The sequence below is a fragment of the Homo sapiens genome, chromosome 2, assembly GCF_000001405.40.
Source record: "Homo sapiens chromosome 2, GRCh38.p14 Primary Assembly".
Taxonomy (NCBI): Eukaryota; Metazoa; Chordata; class Mammalia; order Primates; family Hominidae; genus Homo; species Homo sapiens.
The window spans coordinates 222,205,151-222,226,068 of record NC_000002.12 but is presented as its reverse complement, the minus strand read 5'-3'; the positions used below and the strand labels follow the sequence as shown (position 1 = coordinate 222,226,068).

At 37.5% G+C, this 20,918-nt stretch overlaps 1 protein-coding gene and 1 long non-coding RNA gene across 7 annotated transcripts in view, besides 2 other annotated features; one reads left to right on the top strand and one right to left on the bottom strand.

The window, feature by feature from the left end:
* PAX3 (paired box 3) overlaps nucleotides 1–20,918 on the top strand; it is a 99,112-nt gene that overhangs the window by 72,930 nt on the left and 5,264 nt on the right. For all 6 annotated transcript variants that reach the window (NM_001127366.3, NM_181460.4, NM_181461.4 and 3 more), the window contains exons 6-7: nucleotides 4,682–4,847; nucleotides 5,715–5,929. In NM_001127366.3, the coding sequence (NP_001120838.1) occupies nucleotides 4,682–4,847; nucleotides 5,715–5,929 (381 nt within the window). The remainder of the gene's footprint in view (nucleotides 1–4,681; nucleotides 4,848–5,714; nucleotides 5,930–20,918) is intronic.
* Nucleotides 649–12,531, bottom strand: LOC107985991 (uncharacterized). Its single transcript, XR_001739903.2, has 3 exons — nucleotides 12,293–12,531; nucleotides 5,517–5,673; nucleotides 649–4,983 (listed from the first exon to the last, which is right to left on the bottom strand). It is a non-coding gene; the product is annotated as an uncharacterized LOC107985991 (long non-coding RNA).
* Nucleotides 4,854–6,053: an enhancer, noted in NCBI's record as "CDK7 strongly-dependent group 2 enhancer chr2:223084735-223085934 (GRCh37/hg19 assembly coordinates)". NCBI's record gives its function as "activates an origin of replication core promoter dependent on BRD2, BRD4, P300/CBP, MED14 and CDK7 cofactors, with strong dependence on CDK7, by STARR-seq in HCT116 cells {active_cell/tissue: HCT116}" and the evidence as "EXISTENCE:reporter gene assay evidence [ECO:0000049][PMID:35650434]".
* Nucleotides 17,170–17,792: an enhancer, noted in NCBI's record as "OCT4-NANOG hESC enhancer chr2:223072996-223073618 (GRCh37/hg19 assembly coordinates)". NCBI's record gives its function as "activates a minimal SCP1, AML or CMV promoter by ChIP-STARR-seq in primed H9 embryonic stem cells {active_cell/tissue: H9 hESC(primed)}" and the evidence as "EXISTENCE:reporter gene assay evidence [ECO:0000049][PMID:30033119]".

Genomic DNA, 20,918 nt, shown 5'->3' with positions numbered 1-20,918 from the left:
CACCAAAAATGTGAACCAGTAATTTATTGATGGGCAAAATTAGGCTGACACCAAGGGACAATTAGCACTAATCCATGAAACTTGGAAGCAAATTTGACCTAAGCCTCCATTCAAGTCAAACCGGCTTTCAATTATTTGAGGTGTTTTCTGGGCACTTTCCTGTTTACTCACAGACACAAAAGGCTTTGGCTGGACACCACAGAGTGAAGGAAGCAAAACAGAGCTTCAATTCTTGGTTTTCTCAGATAGAAGTGTCAGTGTGAGACTTTCTATTTAATAGCTAGCATTTACTGAACATTTAATATCTCCTTGGTATTCTTTTAGAAGCTTAGATTGCATTGCATTTTTAATAGTCACAACAATCTTGTGAAGTAGTTTTTATATTCCCCGTTTAGCACATGGGAAAACAGAGACCCCCAGATATTAAGCAAATTGTTCATGGTCACAGAAGTATTAATATAAATGAGGAGCTGAGATTCAACTTTTGCCTGGTCTGTATTGCACACATGTGAATAAGATGTATTGTTGTATCTTTACTGTAGAAAGTACTAGTTTCCCCGCCACCCGCCAACTTGTAATGTTGAGAGTCTGAACAAACTGGTTTGCTTACTCATAAAAAGTATGAAAATTTCTTTTCTAATTATTATCTTTTTTTCCTAGTTATCATGATGTTATGGGGCTCTTTCAACCAATTTAAATTTTGTTTCAAAAAATCATTGGACATTATACTACTAGAGAAATGCATGTAAAGATCATTTTTCAAAGACATGAAATATGGCTTTATGGAAGGACTCAGTAGAGAGACATACAAGTTGGGAAGTACAGGCGGCAGATAAAAATGAACCGGGCTGCAGTTTATCAAATGAAATAACAACTTGCTTTGAGGGAGACTTTTGATGTAATATTATACATGCAATGATAGACAATTAACTGTGTCTAATAGTATAGTAGGTTACTGACAAATTTGTGCCTCCTGCCCCCACTTCCTTAACATGCCAAGTGTGATGCGGAAGGCCAGGTAATCTTGTGTGGGGATAGTAAAATTACATTGAATTGTAGATCATATAATTTCATTTAAAGGTGTATAGCCAACTTTGTAAATCTTGTTCTTTCCACCCTACTGGCAAAGACATTGGGTGGTAAATTTCTGTTCTCTCCTAGAACATCAGTCATAGGCCAGTTTGCCTCTGTTGCTACTGCTATTCTTTTCAAAACAAGGGGAAATTTCTAGAAAGTGTAACTACTAAGTTATAAATATGTATATTTTAGATGAATTTATTCAGTGTTATACACTCACACATGCCATTCTGCAGATTATTCATTGATTGTATGTTAGGAATTAGTGATACAATATTGAAAGAGTTATCTAAGACTTAGGAGTATCAAGAAAATTTCAGTTAAATGTGGGCTGATAACAGCCTCCTAGGATCACTACGCTTGGTTCGTTCAGGTATTGAAAGTAAAGGTCATTTCTAGGGTACTCTTTTTAGTCTACTAAAAATAGAAAATTTGTCTGTTTTGAGTTTCAAAACATAAAGAAGGCAAAGACCAGTTCTTAATTTGCAAAGTTAGTGTGTTTTTCCTTTAATACTTCTTTTGGCAAATTCAGCTGGTTCTAGGAAATGCAGAAGGCTGGCAATGGTAAGATGATAAAAAATCAGGTTAAATGACCAGAGACAGGCAGGCCAGTCCTCACTAAGCCCTGGTTCTCTTAGGAATAGCCCTCTGGATTTATTTAGCCTAAATTTAAACAACATTTAAATTCCTTCCTTTGGGAATCTCTTGAACCTCTTGCTGAAGGTTTGTTTTTCAGTAAAGATTTGCTTCACAACAATTTCTCTTCATTTTTTATTGTGGATATAATAGATACTGTATAATAAATATAAGGACTTTTTAATCCAACTCCTGGTGAGTTTACTCAATGTCTTTGTTACCTATTTATATCATTTTAGAAAATATGAAAACAAACCCCCAAACCCTTATACTCTTACTCTGTTTGGATTCTGTCTTTTGAAGGTATTTGTAGAAACTCATGATGTTTCTTCTTTATTATCTCAGCAAAGACATTTTTGTTTTTAAAAATTGGGTTATGGTGGAGTTAGAATGAACCTTGAGTCAATAGTAACTTGAGATTGATGGAGAGATCAGGCTTCACCACTCCTGGGTTTACTTATCTAAAGGTTACAGAAGGCAGGTGGCACAGAGAGATTGCCAACAAATCTGACAAAAACCGAAGCGTACCTTTCTGAGTTCTTCATAAAGGGTTTCACCAGTGGAACTGAGCATAGTAAATCTTCATGAGTGAAGTTACATCAAAACTTTTGGAAGTCCAGTTCTCCTCCCAGCAATATAAAGCTGGAGATGCACTGTACATCGCTGGTCTAGATAGTTGCAGAGGACTACCTGATCTGAGCCGGGAGTACCTCCTTAGTCTTGACGTATTATAATATAAACTACAACCACAGTGTGTGTTATGGTACAGTGCACTCAGGCATGAACATGACCCTAATTTCCCACCTTCAGCCTCCCCAAGCTAACACAGTTTGTTCCCAGAACTTTCTTGAAAATGATTTTCTTACCCTGATGCCTTTGGGAGCCGTGGTAACAGGCACTCAGACCGGGGCAGTGAGAAAGCACAGTTAATGCAGACCTGAAATTAAGTGCTGTTCATGGTTCTATTACCCCAGGTGGCAATTTATTAAGTTAAGTAAAACTCTAATTCAATTATGTATCAACATGGGAAAATATTAACTTACCTCGTTTTCCTGTTGGAAACTTAAGGAGTATTAAATGTTGATGTTTTGAGGAAGTTCAAACAGCTTTCCTTACCAGTATCTTGCAACAATGGCGAGAGAAGACAAAACTCTTTTCAGACAAATGCTTGGGTGAGTACCAAAAGTTTGAGCAAATCCCTCGGCAAAGGATTTATTAAATTGAGCTTCTTCTCCAGAAAAATCTTTTCCTCCGCTCTTAAATGATCTGACTTTAAGAATTACAATTAAGTTGCAAAATTGTTAACATTGCTCTGTAAGGAAATCAATTCTCATCTTCTCTTAAGCTGGCCTCCTGTAACAAGCTGCATCTGCCTGCCCTGTAGGACAGGATGGATGTCACTTCCATCTCAAGCGATCGCTCGTCGAAATTAGAATCAAATTTTAAAATGAGCTGAAACTTTTTGCTTCCACTTTAGAGTTTTCCTGATTCTCTGTGCTTCCAAATGTGAAGTTTCTACCTCTAGCGAGCAATTATTTTGGTCTCCTTGACTGCTCTGTGAATCCCATGAGGACAAGGCATCAAACTACCAGAGTGCAGAGATCCTACTTGATTCCCTTTATATCCTTCCAACCCCAAACACAGTGCTTTCCTCCATATTAAGTTTCAATGGGTGGCTCACGCCTGTAATCCCAGCACTTTGGGAGGTCGAGGCGGGTGGATCACCTGAGCTTAGGAGTTCAAGACCCACATGGTGAAACCCCGTCTCTACTAAGAATACAAAAATTAGCTGGGCATGGTGGCGGGTGCCTGTAATCATAGCTACTGGGGAGGCTGAGGCAAGAGAATCCCTTGAACCTGGGAGGCGGAGGTTGGGTTGAACTGAGATCCCGCCATTGCACTCCAGACTGGGCGACAGAGCAAGACTGTCTCAAAAAAAAAAAAAAAAGTTTCAATGAACTTTTGATGTAGGAATTAGAATATCTTTAGTTGGTAGAAATCCTCTCTCATTTTAGGGGAAACATCATGTGTGCTCCGTGGAAAAATCACCCCAAGTTCTACATTTAAACTTTGCAGATGTAAGAGTTGGGCAGGAGCACAGGACCCATGAAAGGCCTTATATCACAATTTCTCAATAGTTTAGATATTCAGTTACATTTCTTGCTGCCATGACTGCCCTTTCTCTCCATTGACTCATACAAAATACTTGGGCTTTGAATTATTTGAGGGCATTTTATTATATTGTATCAGGCTTTTCTGAATGTACCTGGTTAGCATAGTGCTTGACACAGCGTGTTCTAGGAGCTTAAAGCTGTTGTTGAAATAAATAAGACACAAATGAATTATTTTAGATAAAAAAAGGCTTTCATTTCTTGAAACACTTACCTCTTTGGCATTTATTTCCACCGAGATCAGTGCAATGTTTCATATTTTGGAAGAGATGAAAAAAGGGCTCCACTTATCCTCTGTTCAATTTATATGACCATCCAGAAGCTATACCCCTAGTGACCACAGAAATACAGAGACAGACTAATAAGAATATAAAATACAAGGCTTGGAGTAAAAGGCAAGGCCACATTTAGGACATGCGTCATGCAGGGGTCACAGAGGCTCATGTATCCTCCCCAGAAGGCTGTCTACACGTAGGTGGGTGGATGTTGAGGGTAGGGAGGGGAGTTCCTGTTGTTCCTACTCCTGCTCAGTGATTCCTGCCCATGGTCCTCATAAGGTTCATGGGGGCTGTTGTTGCAAGATCATGGTGGGTCCCTGAAGCCCCTCTACTGACCTTTGACACTAAACTCTTCTTTTACTCCTGACAATTCGCCCAAACAACACAGAAGGCAGAGAACTCTTGCATCTATTTGCCCTTTCAGTAAGAAGCCTCTAATCTGTTTTAGCATAAAAAATTCATTAAGAATGTACTATTATTTCATCAGTGAAATCCTTAAATTTTAAATTAAATCCATAGGTCTGGTTTAGCAACCGCCGTGCAAGATGGAGGAAGCAAGCTGGGGCCAATCAACTGATGGCTTTCAACCATCTCATTCCCGGGGGGTTCCCTCCCACTGCCATGCCGACCTTGCCAACGTACCAGCTGTCGGAGACCTCTTACCAGCCCACATCTATTCCACAAGGTACCGAGGAAGAGTCAAGGAGATTAGAAAGTAACTTCCAGGCGATTTCTCTGGTGGATATTTTATACAAGTGAATCCTTCTGCAGTACTGACACCATGTTGTTAATTGTAATACATCAGGTTGTCCTGAACGTACCTATCACATTTCAGAAACATAGTTTGTTCTATGATGTATCAGAATATCTCTAGATAAACTGTGCTGTAATATAATTCAATTGCAGTATTTTAAAACAAATTAACCTTCCCAAATAACCATGGGATTTGCTTTTCTTTTGTTAAAATTTTACCTCTACGTTTTACTCCAGTTTGCAACTAACTGGAATTCAATGATGCTTACTAACTGTAGGAATAATAGAGGGAAGGTAAGCTTTGACAAAGTCATTATTTGTTAGCACACAGAGGTGAATGGGATAATGTTAAATTGTAAGATCCGATTATTTTGGATTATGAAAGAACATTCCAGGCATTTGAAACTATATTATTACACAAATATTTAGGTGCTTTAAAAGTATATTTGATAAGAAATTTGAGACTTGCAGTCCTTATATTGGTTAATTCTCATATTGATGAATAACATTCACTACCAAAATATGCTTGTTAGCATTGCTAATATGATTTCTGCATTAGTATTCTGGGTGAGCCTGCCGTGAGAGTATATATGTTACTTACAAGTATGTGCAGAGATAGGTGTGACTGTATCTGTTATGGGTGATTCTACACCTGCAGGTTAAGAAACGCAGTTTGAAGTGAACATTTGATTTGATCAATAGATGCTCCTGATGGCCTGGTGGCTGATGAACTTTTGCACTGAACTTTCTCTGCTGGCCTAAAAGAAAACATGATGGTTGACAATCTTTTTCATTTCAGCTGTGTCAGATCCCAGCAGCACCGTTCACAGACCTCAACCGCTTCCTCCAAGCACTGTACACCAAAGCACGATTCCTTCCAACCCAGACAGCAGCTCTGCCTACTGCCTCCCCAGCACCAGGCATGGATTTTCCAGCTATACAGACAGCTTTGTGCCTCCGTCGGGGCCCTCCAACCCCATGAACCCCACCATTGGCAATGGCCTCTCACCTCAGGTCAGTCCCGTGTTTCTAGACAGACGATTTGCTGTATACCAGAACCAAATATTCAATTCCCTGAGGCAGTAGTGTAATGAATTGCCAAATTTAAACCATAATGTATTCTTTATAGAAGCCACATGATTTCAGTTTTCTGGTTTCCTTTCTCTCCACCCTTCCTACTGGCTTCATCAAAAGTTGTAGCTTAGACTTAAAATTCAAGTGATTTTTGATATAATCTTGGAGACTTTGTGTTCATATTTAGCTGTGAAGGTGTTTGCCATGTTTTGTCTTCTCCATCCTAGTTCTGGGCTTTGGTTAAGAAGCTTGCAAACAGTGGCAGGTTTTTTGTTTTGTTTTTTTGTTTTAAATTGTATTTAAAATTGATAAGGTTTCAATCAATTGATAAGGTTTTAAATTGATGAGGTTTCAATCAAAAGCACCTCATAAGAAAACACTAAAGCTTTGACAAAACAATCAGAGAGGAAGCAAACAAGTCCTGTGGAGAGAGACCCAGCTGATGACTACGAACTCTGGAATAAACGAGTTATAAATGCACAAATTAGGGGAATTACTGCTCTTTGGGACTATATAAATATTTGAATGTTGTAATTGTTTTTCTAATTTGCATTGGACTATGAGCTTTTCTTAGGAGATCACATTAATAAATTGCCTTGATAATTGCATGTGAGAGGGTTGGTTAAATTTCCTACATGTGGCATCTGTCTGAGGTTGACATTATTAGCAGTTGTTTAAATACAGATCCCTTGATTTTATTAGAGAGTGCTTGGCCCAGGTGGCAAGGATAGCTGCCCACTAAATTTGGAGAAATGTCACAAGGGGTTGCAATCTATAATTGCAATCGAGAATCTCTTCAGAGAGTTTGAACAGCTTTATCTGTTCTCAACCCCCTTTTTCCTCTTGGTGGTTAGAAAAACAGAGAGAAGCTCAGAATGACACAAATGAAAAGTGAAAAGACAATTATACTCAATTACACACTAATCACTGACTATCACCGCTGCCTAAGCACCAAGAGGGCATTCTAATAGGCAGAAAATGAGATTTTAATGGCACAAAGGGTGGCCAAAATAACGACTCGTATATCTTTGCCTCTTCGTTTTCTTCAACTTGTGGTGTGTGTCTTGGGAGTGGAATTCCTGGGCTCTGCAAGACAGTGATAACTGTGAGCAGCTGAAAAGTTCAAAGCCGGAGGAGTTGAAAAGAATGGATAGCAAAGGCAATGAAATAAACATTTCCGCCTAAAGGCAAAAGTTCATAAATCCTTTTTTGTAACAGTAAATGTAATTAAGTTTCATAGATTCCTATAGCACATCCTGGGATAAAAAAAAAATTATGAGGTGGCTTTAAACCTCAGCTGAAAAATAACAACATGAAAACAATGAAAGTGCTTCCTACAGGACTTTAATACATTTTATTTCCAAGTACTGGCATTTGTGAATGTGATTTCTGCATGAAAATCATGGACTTATATTGATAGAGTCATCCTTAAAATACCCAGATTCATGGCATATGAGCTTCTTCCACAACTTAGAAGTAACATCAGAAGTACTTATCTCCGCGATTTTTTAAGATTTGTAGTTTTGGGGGCTGTAGAAAAGCTTTTCATGAACATGATTTGGTTGAAAGTTTTAATAAAAGTAAACTCCTGCCCTAGCTGCTTCTGCAAGGTGAGATCCCAGATTCCATTGGCATTTCTTAGTACCTTATTTTATTCAATAGCAATAAAACTAATAAGAACCTGTATTCTATAAGTGAAACTGGTACTTTCTTGTATAAATGTATTATCTTGTATGTTATGATGTGTATTCTTTTGTATTATATAAGTATCACATAAGTAGAATTGCTAGAATGTGATCTCCTAACTATTAATCCTTGACTTCAAGAAGCCTGGCTATGATTCTGGAGTTGATGGTAGAGCAAAATCATTCTAATACTAAGCAACGGAAAATTCCATAGGCATTTTTCCTGTATTTCTTTACTATATCTTACATATTATGGTAATTCTTTATTACATTGCAATATGCAGGGTATTTTGCATTTCTGCCATACATTTCCACCTCAAACCACCACTAGGAATTTATGTTCTCTTGGTTTTTGTAGCAACCCCACTGAGTTAGAAAAGAGACAAATAATATGAAATTCCTCCTTATTTCCTCAGGCAAAGTTAAAGAGCAAAGGACAATGAGCAAATCAGTATCTTGCCAAACATATTTATGCAACAGTGGAGTAGGAAAATTGGATTCAAACTTAGATTTCTGTAAACTTTGGGCTATATCACTTCTCTGTAATGACACTGTTTAAACAAGAGGTGCCTACACTACTTTTGCTTCTCTGGCTTTCTTAAAAATATTTTAAAGAAAAATGTGAAGCAACGAGTTCATGTCTAACACCCTGGTTTACTTGTTAACTAAAGAAGAGACTAGAGAAAGGCTTGTGACCTATAAGTCACTGCTTATCATAGAGTGATTATGAATATATTGGATCATATAACACGGACAGTGTTATGCTGAGAATAACTAATAGCGTTATGATTACCATTTCTCCTTTTCCTCACTACTTACTCTTCTACTTCCTCTACCTCTGTCTGGTTATCTAATATGCAGAAAAACCAACTGAGGCCCAAAATGATTGTCACCTTCTGCCAGCCAAAGGATTGATAGGGAGGGAATTAAGACTAGAATCTAGGATTCCTGGTTCCTGGTCTAGGATCTTGTCCATTATAGTCCAGAGTTGAATGAAGAGAAAACAGGTTTCATAAAAAAACAGATGCAGGAGGTTTTAGTCATATTATAAAATAATTTAGTAGAGACTAGTTTTTTAAAACTTTTCTGTTCAGGTCAATTTATGCTCTTTTTGCTAAGTTTAATTTCCATTAATCTTCTATCTTCTCCTCATATTAAAAGCATTGGATGTTCATTGTAGATAAATAAAAAAAATTTGCTTAAAAAGTGTCTATAAAGTAGAAAAAACAACCCCCAAGGCAACTACCATGAGTATCTTTGCATATTGCCTTCTAGCTTTTTAGGTTCTTATGCCTCCTTTAGAAACATAATTGAGAAAGTAGAAAGTAGTGCATACAACTTTGTATCTTGCCTTTTCTCTGTCTTTACGTGTCATCATAGGCCTTCTGCCATCTGTCAATTTACACCGAATTGGTTATAGTTTTTTGAGTCACTGTGATCAGTTCACTGTAGATCTCTCTGGTGGAGCTATTTGACATGTTAAAAATATTTCTGCATTTTATTCGACTTTTTCCCTAGAGCCATTGAAATTGATGTATTGTTTGCCATCCACACTTGGAAATTGTGAGCTAGAGTATGTGTGAATGATTGTAGAGTGGGCTTTCTAGTTTCTCATCAAGGAATTAATAGACACTATAAGGATAGCCAAAGCATCTCTCTCTCTCTCTCTGTGTGTGTGTGTGTGTGTGTTTGTGTATGTGTACAATAGTTGGTTTTTGTTTTGTGTCTCTAATGTATCTTTTCCCTTGAGCAAAGGCTGGGAATTACAGCCATTTGCCAAATGGCGCATCATAGATGCCCTCAGTCCTTTCCTCAGAGAAGGTCTCAGCTTCATGAGGGGCTGGTGTGAAGCAGTGTCTCAGGGAGGTCACACCTGTCCAGATGGTCAGAGCTTGGCAATGGACTGATCTGTATTTGTGACAGCCTAAATCTCAGAATACCAACAGCAACCTTTAGAAACTCTGATGTCGTTCCTCCTCAAGTTGCTGAAAGGGTCTGTGCATTTTTTAATCATTGGCAAGTTTTTCTTGTTCTGAGGGAATCAGCAACAATATCTGGGGAATATTTTCATTTTGCTTATTGGAAAACTGAGGCCAAGGCAACACAATCATTTAATTGATGGAGTGAGCTAGTGGCAGGGTTAAGAGCCAACTCTATGTCTTGTCTAGTTCTTACTAGTTCTTCTATGAACACAAATTACACATTTTAGTGGCTGGTCAGCACCAGAGGAAGCATAATGTCCTAAGAAATTTCCCAAGGGCTGCCCCAGTGATATTCGACTGAATTTTCTTGCAGCCATGGTTGAATGGCTTCACAAATGGTGGGCTTGGCTTTTCATTCTATCAAAGGCTGCATGTGTCAGGGAATTTAAGGCGAGATTCTCAGTGATGCGTGAGAGGGTGGAGACAGGCTAATGACCTCAAAATTTTCCACCATCTCTGGATAGCTGTTTGAACTGCATAACCTTTTTGGAGATGGGGCTTATAATGAATGACAAAATACGCTCTGGGAAGGGAAGCATTTAACTCACTGCAACACGGGCTGTCTTCTGTAGTACCATCCTTCTGAAAGTTTCTGTTCTGTTGATGTGAGGAAAATATAGTGCATGGGGTAATACAGACCATTTATTTCCCCTCCATCCCCAGAGAGTACATTACCAGCACCTTCCTACACATGCAGGAGGAAAAAGGAATGCTGCCTTGGAATATGGAGTACCGAGGAAGTACTACCATATGCTCAAGATGTGAGGCTAATTAACATTTGGCCCATGTTCTTCTAATTAACTTTTCTTTGCAAGAAATACTACCCTGACTGTTCCCCTACCCCCAAGACACACATAGCCAAACCCCCAAAACAAGACCAATTAAATTAACAAACTTTTATCATTTCATGCCTCACCCCCCACCCGACTTCTACAAACTCCACAGTTCTTTGGTAACAGTTTCTAAAGATTTCCTGAGTGAAATACAGTATCAGTGGGTTACACTGTTTATAGGAATCTTTTCTATTGTTTTGTAGTATACAAAATGGGCCAACTTGGCTGCATTTAGGGTTCATCAACCATTGCAAATGATTCTTCAAATGTTTTGGGTTTGGTAAAACCTAAAACACATTTTTGCCAAGCACTTTTCCTCCTTAATTTTTCAAACTGTGTATTTTAAGGAAAATTTGATCCATATGGTTTTGATTCATTTACTCTTATATCACTGACATTTTTTTCCCTATGAAGCCGTTTGATATCCAAGAAGCTTTCTGAGCCTTTCCTACATTCATTTTAAGCATTTTCCTCCCTGAAAAGAGGAAGTTCTGTTTGCAACCTCAGAGCCCATAAATTTTGAGTTCCTCTCATTTCAGCAATACTTACAAATACATTTGGTATAAATCTGGATTATTATGAACACATTTTATGTTTAGAACAGATGGGCAGATTTTAGTTTCTGGTTTATGAGTGAAACCAATGACAAAATAAGAAAATAGGCTTAAATTACAAAAAAAAAGTTTTGTTTTAGAGAACCTTTAACTGTTATTAATAAATCCCCATGGTAAGAACTATGCTGTGAGGCCTTGTTTCAAATTTTGTCCAGGTCTTGGGTAAGATGTAATTGAATAACCAGTACACCTGTCCTATTTCATGGATAATCTACTGAGGAAAGAAAAAATTCTCATAAAGATTTGTGTACTGGGCTTGAAAAAGCCTGAATGTTTGCCCACCACTCAGCAACACTCAGGAACAAAGAAGAGGTCTGCAGATCTCATCAAGTTTATCCACCATTCATCTAGTAAGTTCGGCTGAATCATCACAGACTTGTGTTGATGAGATACCATCTCTGAAATAGACCCAGAAAGAGCAGATAGCTCTTTACACTAATAAGACTGTGGTTAATGGCATAAAATGCCAGGATCGACTTTTTGTTCTTATTCACATTTTACAAAAGCAAACCTTTAACTCTACCACCCATCCAGTTGCTTTTAAAGAATAATATTAAAATTGAGATTATTAGTGTGTAATGTATGTAAATTGCATATTTGGTGTCAGCTACGCCTATTAGGAAGCTTCTTCGTTTCATGCATATATGTATTAGACTATCGTGGTTCCATTTCAAATTAGATTTCAATTGCTCAGCACAGTTCCTTTTGACAAACATTTGTTAATCCTGAAACTTATTAGGAAGAAGCATTTAAGTGTTAATATGTGTACACAAAACTCAAGACTGCTTTTGATTTCACTTGTCATTTTTGGGACCACAGTGCTAACAATAATCTCAAATTCTTTAGCTGCCAAGGCAAAATGATGGTTGTTTGCTCATCCAGGGGGTAAGGACTTGTTATGTGGATGGGATATAGTCATTAAAAATTGTTGCATTGGGTACTTCTCTGTTTCATTTGTTGCCGTTAAAATCTTTCCTACTATGGCTTGGTAATTCCTTGCCTTTCTCTTGTGCTGTTGATATAGGTCAAAGCAATAAGGTTCACCCTGGCGGTACAGCCAGCTTCTATTTCAAGATAGCTAATTTTTTGGGACGTTTTTGGGTACGCATCCAGAAGCTACCTGATGCTAGTCTTGTTGATAAGGCATTCGTTTCACACACTGGTTGCAAATTCTCTGCCCTTGACCTACCTTTATCATTGTGAAGAATCAGACAAGCAAGTAGCCTGACACCAACCTATTTCCCAATGGAGGGGCTTTCTTCCCTTTACACTTTCCAGGAATTTATCTGTAGAAGAGAAAGGAGTGATTTTGATTAAAGAAATTTGTTGGGTGTCAAACAAAGCTGGGGGCAGAGAGAGATTTTTTACAAAAGTGGCAGCCTCTCAAAGGCTTGAGCCTCTTTCTGTTTCTTTTCTAAAGCAGTTTGTGTGCTGATTGCCAGGGCTTCAGAAGCCTCGATGTTTGTGAAGGCTCAAGAATGTTTATGATCATAAACGAGCCCATTTCAGCTACACCAGAATAACCACTGGCCATTTGGAGGTTTCCATTCTGCCATATTAGGTTTTCGAGATGTTCTGCTCATGGATGAAAACATGGCTGTTAATCCATTTGTTGAATCAATGAGCAGGCTGTAATTGACCTGGTACTTTTGGTTTTTCTCTAAGGCTGTGGTCGCTACACTTAAGAGTATGAGGAGAGCCCTGGTTTATGTCAGCTCCAGTCATAGCCTCTTGAGTTAGTTTAATTTGGTGAATTGTGAAAGAGACAACGACCTGGCCCAAATCTCCTTTTTAAAGAAAGGGAGAATGTAGCACCCAGTGACTGAATCTTACATCACGTCACTGAAATGAGCCAAAAGAAAACCTTCCTTGCTGAATTAATTATTTTTGTGTCTGCCGAGTTGATTTAAACAGAAATTCTGTCAGCTATGTTCTCCTGTACATTGGACAAATCAAATGCAACAACCTCGTGTTTTCTTTTTTAGTCCCATTTGAATTCCTCCAGCTTTTGAGTCGAAAAAAAATGAGCATTATTGCTTAGTCTATAACTAAGCAACTAGGATAAAAAGTTTTTCTTTGTAGTCAGCAATACATAGCCGTGCTAGATATTATGTGGGGCCAATGGCCTGAATCAACCCTTTATATGTGGGTGGAATGCGATGTAAAGCTTTTAATTTATTATTGCATTTGCAAAATGGCAATATCTTCAGAAATCTGAATACTTGCATATTTATTCAATTAGGGGATGAATGTGTGCTTTGTACTACAGACACAGAAGACTTGATTTAGTCATTAGTTGTATACTATTCGTGTGTGTGTGTGTGTGTGTGTGTGTGTGTGTGTTTGTTTTTCCAAAGAATCTGTCTCTGTAAAACAGTCTGGGTTTCATCAGAGGTGTATTTTTTCAATGTATAGTATAATATTTAAAAATTGCTCTTGACATTTAGCTCGAATTCAGTAAACTAGAGTTTCTGAGATTAGCGATTGCACCTCTGCTGATCAATGGAACAGATGGCAAATTGGGAGACGTTTGGGGACAGTACATTTTGCAGAATAATGGGGTAACGTGTCTACATTGAAGGGAATATTTCTTAGCTGTGAGATGACTGTTCGGGTAACCTTTAGCACTGAACTAATGAAAGAAGCAAGCATTACTTAAAGAAGTAACTCTTCTTTTTTCTCACAAAAATACTGATGTCTCATTCTGGGCAGATTGCGTTAAAAAAATCTAGTTAAACTATTGCATCTGTCCTGAGATTTCAAAATACCTGCTGTAGAGATGATCCTCTATTTGTGTCACTCTATGCTTCTAGCTCAATGTCAACCCTTCCATGACTCTTCCAGGCAAAATTTCTTTTTTAGCCTCTATTGATGCCACATTATTATATTTATACCTTGTTGAAACACATACCAGACTCTATTCTATTATAGTGTATCCACACCCCCACTGCCTTTGATTATAAGCTTCTAGAGGAATGATGCTATTTGAACACCCTGAAACCAAACCAAGCCTCATGATAAAGACTTGTTCCCCAAAGCAGGCTCTGTAGAACAGTGGTGTGAGAGAAAAGTATTCTGAAGGTAAAATTTGGTAAAAGTCAGAAATTATATCCCTTTACCTTTCAGTGTACGAGTGCACATTAGCCTACTAAAGGCCCTGACAAGTCTTGAGGTATGAAAACATGTTTAATTTTGTTTAATTCAGTGTATTCTAATCTGATTATGGAGCCCTTTTGTTGAATACCAAACTATCAAGTTTTAAGGAACATTTCCTGGGATGTACCTAATAATGGAAAACCCACGTGGAGACCTAACTCTTGATCCATTTGTTTCTAAAATGGCTTCTTGATTTTTTCCACAGGTGAATTTTTTTTTCTAATTAATGTCTGATGGTGTCTTCTGTCTCAACACAGTGTCAGCCCTTTGTGTAAGAACTTAGAGTAGGGGGAGACTAATTTTAAAGAAGAGGCTATAAACTACCTAATAATATTTAGGATGAGGCAGATAAGGGGGTAAAGGAAAAGAAAGAATTCCTATCTAATGAAGTGATTGCAGTGTGGGTATAACTCATTAATCTAAAGACAGCACCAATAGAGTTCAAACTTAGCCACTTACTAGCTGTGCATTTTCACATAAACTGTTTAAACTATCTCAGCTTCTTCTGTACCTTCTTGTTCAACTTAGACGATACTAAAAAAATTGTCTTGTAGACTTAGGCTGAGGAACATTAAGTGATTTTTGATAAAGTACTAATGCTATTGCAACAGGGTTTCATTATTGTTGTCTTAAAAATATCATGTATGGCCAAGTGTGGTGGCTCACACCTATAATCTCAGGACTTTGGCAGGCTGAGGTGGGATCGCTTGTGTCTAGGAGTTTGAGACCAACCTAGGCAACATAGTGAGACCTCGTCTCTACAAAACATACAAAAATTAGCTGGGAATGGTGGCCTGCACCTGTACTCCCAACTACTCAGGAGGCTGAGGTGAGAGGACAGCTTAAGCCCAGGAGGGTGAGGTTGCAGTGAGCCGTGATTGCACCATTGCACTCAGCCTAGGTGACAGAGTGAGATTCTGTCTCAGAAAAAAAAATTATGTGAATCTCTGACAAAAATATACTTTTGCTTGTCCATGAAAAATAAAGCAAACACGGAAACTGAGTGACATCAAAGGAAAGGCGGTATGTTGGTAAATTGGAGTATTTTCAAGTATTCTACTTAGACATTTCAAAGATCTAAGGATTCATATTGATGTCCATTTAGAATGCAGTAACTCTAAGGTGGCTGGATAAGATAGTCTCCAGAAATATAATGTACTAAGATCAATTTATTTGAGAAATTCAGGTTACAATACCATGAGAACCCACTATAATGAAAACTAAAGTCAACCCTTTATTCCATGGGGCTAGGAGCAGGGAGGGGAGAGGGTCATCCTGTTGTTTTTCTTTTTGTATTCTAGTTTTGACTTATTGAAATATAATATTGACATGAATGAATGTATTTTTGAAAATATACAGTCCATCTTCTATAACAATAGATACTGGGTAAATTAGAAGCAAGATACTCGCCTCAAAGACAGGGGAATCTGATATGCAGTGATGCTTCTCTCTCACCAGCCAAGGATAAGGGTAGCTAAAACATCATGTACCATCAAAAAGTTTTGGAACATAAGGGACAATCTAAGTGATTTTGAGTTTATCAATTGAGGAGCATTTTTCAAAATCACTAGATTACAAAGATTTTATTTTGCTAGGATCTGCAGGAACAGAATTAGTTTCTGAAGATCAAAGTAGGTTCTGCATGTTGCCAGCCTACATCAAGTTGCCTGTGCAGTAGGAGACATAACCACTGCCCAAATTATGACCATAAGCACAAGTCATCAGGTGGAAAAGAGAACACGGCATCTTTATTGGTTCAGTGTCCCTGGAGTTAGGTATGGGAGAGAATTAAGGTAAATACGATTTTAGCTTAATGGTGTAGTAGTTTCTAGCTTTTGGGAGACTGTGTTCTCAGATGTTGTCTCACATTTGTAGAGTTGGTAGAAATTCCATTAATTTGATTAAATTTAATTTTTTTTGAGACAGAGAGTCACTCTGCCACCCAGGCTGGAGTACAGCGGTGCAATCATGGCTCATTGCAGCCTTGACTTCCTGGGCTCAGGTGATTCTCTTACCTTAGCCCCCCAGTAGCTGGGACTAAAGGTGCATGCCACCATGCCCAGCTAATTTTTTTTTTTTTTTTTTTTTTTTTTTTTTTTTTTTTTTTTTTTTTGTAGAGACAGAGTTTTGCTGTATTGACTAGGTTAGTCTTGAACTCCTGGGCTCAAGCCATTCTCTGGCCTCAGCCTCCCAAAGTGCTGAGATTACAGGCATGAGCCACCGCATCTGGCCAAATTCCATGAATTTTAAATGAATGCTTATTCTGCCTTACCACAGAGCCTATGAAACAGACCAGCAAGTGTTTTCTAAAGAGTATGTTCATTCTTAGACTTTTGCAAGCCTGTTCTCCATTTCCCCATGATTACCAGAAATACCTTTCCTGACATTTACTCATCAGTATCACAGGTAAATCAGTATCACCAGGTCTTTTCAGTTGGTTCTTTTCTTTATCTTAAGGATGTACCTTCCTTCACAAGAAAAGGGCAAGGAAGCGTCTTTTCTGTAGTCTTCAGACATTTCATAGATGCAATCTTATGCTATTGACTTTAGGCAGCCACAGAAATATTTGCTTACATCATACATAGTGTGAAAGAAAGAAGAAATTTCCTTGTTGAGCTGGACAACCATTTTCTTCCTTTAGCAGATCAGAATGTCTTCCCTACATGTTGTTAGAGTGGTAGGTAGAGGGAAAACTTTTAGGGAAATGGGAATATAGTATATATAGACCAACATTCCTCTGCTTGGGAGAGGCAGAGTTGAAGCTCTTTTCACTAAAAGGCAGTATTTCTAGTTTATTATAAGTGATTTGTGAGTCTCAAATGGGACTGTGAAGTTAAAGGTCACTAAGATTTGCATTTATGAATGGTTATTAGGGTGAATCAGCCTTGCATTTCCTTACATGGAAGTTCGGTTTACAGGCAATTAGAGAGAAAATTTTGAATGCCATATCACTGAAGTATTGTGAGATGCCCAAACATAGAGCTTTTCTCTTTCTATATTTAGAATCCCAAGTCTCAAAGGGTCAAGTAATATTTAGCAAAAGTATCCTAGAGTAGTCATGAAATGAAACCAAGATACACGTTTGATTTTCCACAGTCATGTTCTCAGACTGGATTTTGAAACAGTGATAGGTTTGAGCACACGCGCTTTAGAGGGCTACAGTGGTTGTGAGAAATTTCCTGAAATGAGAAGAGTTAACAGCAGGTAATGTCATTCCTCCCAGAAAGAGTTTGAGGCTCTGTGTGTTAAGTGATGAATGAGGGTATCTGACCCACATCTGTTTTACATTAGAATGGAACATTGCCCTGACATCCTCAGGAGCATTTGTCAAGATTCCCTGGACAGAGCTTCTGTAAATTACATGCTGCAAATGTGTCAGGGTCAGATAAGAGGATATCATTAACTCCCCCAAGTTTACTCAGGACTCTGTCAGTCCCTCTTAATATGCTAAGGGCCAACAATTTTCCTGAGCTGTTTTGTTATATTTTTCATTCATAGAAAAAAAAAATATTTGCTATAGTCCCCCAATATTGCACATGTTCTTTTCCCATAAATCATATTAATTGTAGACATGGTCACAAAGCATATTAAATGCAGGCATGCGTAAATGAATTAAAACATATGAGAATTTTATTATGCCCATGGTGGGTCTAACATAGTCAAATACCAGTGGTATTAACTGGCATGCTTTTTCATTTAGGTGGAATGAACTTTTTCTTAATGGGCTTTACTGATAATAGATGGACGTGATATGGTCATTCATCACTGGCTAGAAGTAAACTAGAAGTTATATATATATATATATACACACACATATATGTATATATATACATATACATATATACACACTTTAGAGGGAAGGCTAGAAGCCTGAAAAACCCTTTATATCATACAAAATCATAATTCACAATGGTTTTTTAAAAAAACAACTAAATGTGCATATTAAATGTTAAATTAGAAGAACATCTGCCTAGTTAAGAACAAGTATCTATGGTTATGCAACTCATTTCTGCGCTAATTCTCTGTCTAGATTTATATTTTAGTCATCAGTCCGTAAAGAATATTGCTATGAAACTTAACACTTAGCTCTATTGAGCAATAGGTATTCAAAATAATTGATAAAAATAAGCTATCTCTGTGATTGGTCACAGGGCTGGAGATGAAACATACATAATCCCTTAGAGTTTAACTGAGACAATACTTACTGTACTCTTTACAATGAAAACATGGAAATGTATGCTGCATATGAAGCACACTTGTCTGGCACTCATACTTTTTCATCATGCATTAAGCACAGCTACTTGTAAAATGTAGGCTAAGGATTAAAATAAAACATGCACAGGTTTTCTATCTGGTTAGGTAAAGGTCAGTCTTGGCCTTTCCCTAACTCTCAGGATGGGTGAGAAGGTCACCACACATACCTTAAGAGAAACTTCTGCCTTCAGGCAACTTCCCTCTTACAGCTTTCAAACAGACAGGACCCAAAATCTAATTATTTAGATGCTAATCAACTGCAGGATAATTCCTAAGGCATTTGAATCTGAGGACATTTTCAGGAAAGTCTCTGCTCCTTAAATTTAGGTTTTTAACCTCAAAGATACAGTTACTGAAATTTAACCATTAGATGACTCCAGTAACACCCACATTGGCAAAAAACATTTGGATAAACATTTGAACATTTTTGATTGGTTCCGAAAATATATTATATCTAAATAAAAAAATATAGTCAGTAGATTTTTGGAGGAAAGGATGGAAGAATAAAAAAACTCTTTATGTCATACAAAGCTGTAATTCACATTTCTTTTTTAAAAAGAACAAACTAAATGTGTATGTTAAATGTTAAATCAGAACACCTGACTACTTAAGAACAAGAAAGAAAATAAAGACGTGAACCAAGAATTCCTACTAAAGAAAAAAGAAGCGCCTGGATGTGCACCATAATTTACTGAATCATTTTAGATTTCTGATAAGCTTCAGGCACTTTCAACTGATGGGAAAACCATAATGCTTGTGCCAAGACAAATATTTTCCAGACATATCATTTTAAAGGTAAATCTTAATTTGGCCCATAGTTTTTATCTTTTTTATTTAATCTTGCAATAGGAAAATTAATTCAAGAGAAATATGGCATGGAGCAATTGTAAGACTTAGTTTTTCCTGAACCATATAATCTTCCAATCAAGATATAAACAACCTATTTGGAATTCTGAAACTTGAGAATGAGTTTAAAGAGATCTTCAGAAAATGTCTCTCTAATAATGCAAAAGATGGAGGAGCTGCTAGGAGAAACGTGGACATAAATTCGGAAGCTTTGAATTTGTTTTTAAAGGCTGTTCAAAGAACAATTTAGAAACAGTATGTGGAACACATTTCGGAGGTAACAATTTAGAAATCTGCTCAACAGATTTTTTTTTTTTAGATGGTTCACAACTAAAAGTAAAAAGAAAGAGTTCTCCTTGCTTCCTTTTCTAATGAGACAGAGCAGAGATCTTTATTAAAGAAAAACTCTTTCTGGTCATTGCATCTCCTGGATTTACCTGGCATTTAATGAGTGTGATCAGTGTTCAGGAGACAGAACTGGGTAGCCTTGAATTTGTTTCTTTTTCTTTGAAATTGTTTGTCAAAACTAGGCAATCAAGCTTCTCTCATACCCCAAATTAAAAAAAAAAAATTGGTACAAAATGCCAGCCCTGTAGTAGAAATATCTTACTAATGGTGTAAGGGGAGGGCAAAAAAATCCACTTTACAACAAATGAAGATTTGATTTTAGGCTTTGAATTACAAATTTGAAGGAATTTGTAGGAAAAGCGTGCATAAAAGAAATTCTGACATTATTCTTAAAAAGAAAATGTGACTGGAAGACATTCCATAACCATATTGGATAAGTTCAAAGAAGTTCATTTACCAACTTCTTTGTGCACAGAAAGAAATTTCCATAGCTTCCCTTGAACCACATGAAACGCAAAATAGCTTTTAAAGAAACATACATGAAAGTGTAATGGAACCCTTCTACAGAGATTTGAGGTTTTAAATTATGTGAGGGGAGAGTAATGCATTTTCTATTGATGTCCTCACTCCCCCCACCAACACACATTTTTAAAAACTGTAAAACAGTAGGTTTTTAAAATGGTGTATATTTCTCAAGTTTTCTCAGTGTGAAATATTGAAATAAATCACATTATAATTATTTATTAATCGCAGTTTCAGGCCAAATGTAGGAAAATGTTAGTGCTGTATTCCCCATCCTTTTAAGATTCTTGAGATTACGATTATAATATGTGACCATCACAGTGGAAATAAGAACTTGTGAATGTCTGTCTTGGGGGCTCTATCAGGGAAGTCAGAGGAACAAAAGATAACTGGTCTCTGGTCCCCTCTATGCTCTCACATCAGCCCCTGCAAGTATTGGGCTGCTGTGCTGAGTGCTGTGGCTAAAGGAGATGCCCTCACTAGCTTTCTGTGTGTGACAATAGTGACACACAGGAAGACCCTGCAGGTGTCCTTCCTATTTGGTCATGTTTTGGGAAGTCTTAAAGCTACTCAGCCCTGGAACCTTTGAGGAACTATCTTTCTATTGCCCTAATACGGCTCTGCAAACAGGGTATCTTCTCCACCCTTCAATAGATATACTTCAAGGTCTTAAGAGTTAAATCCTTTCC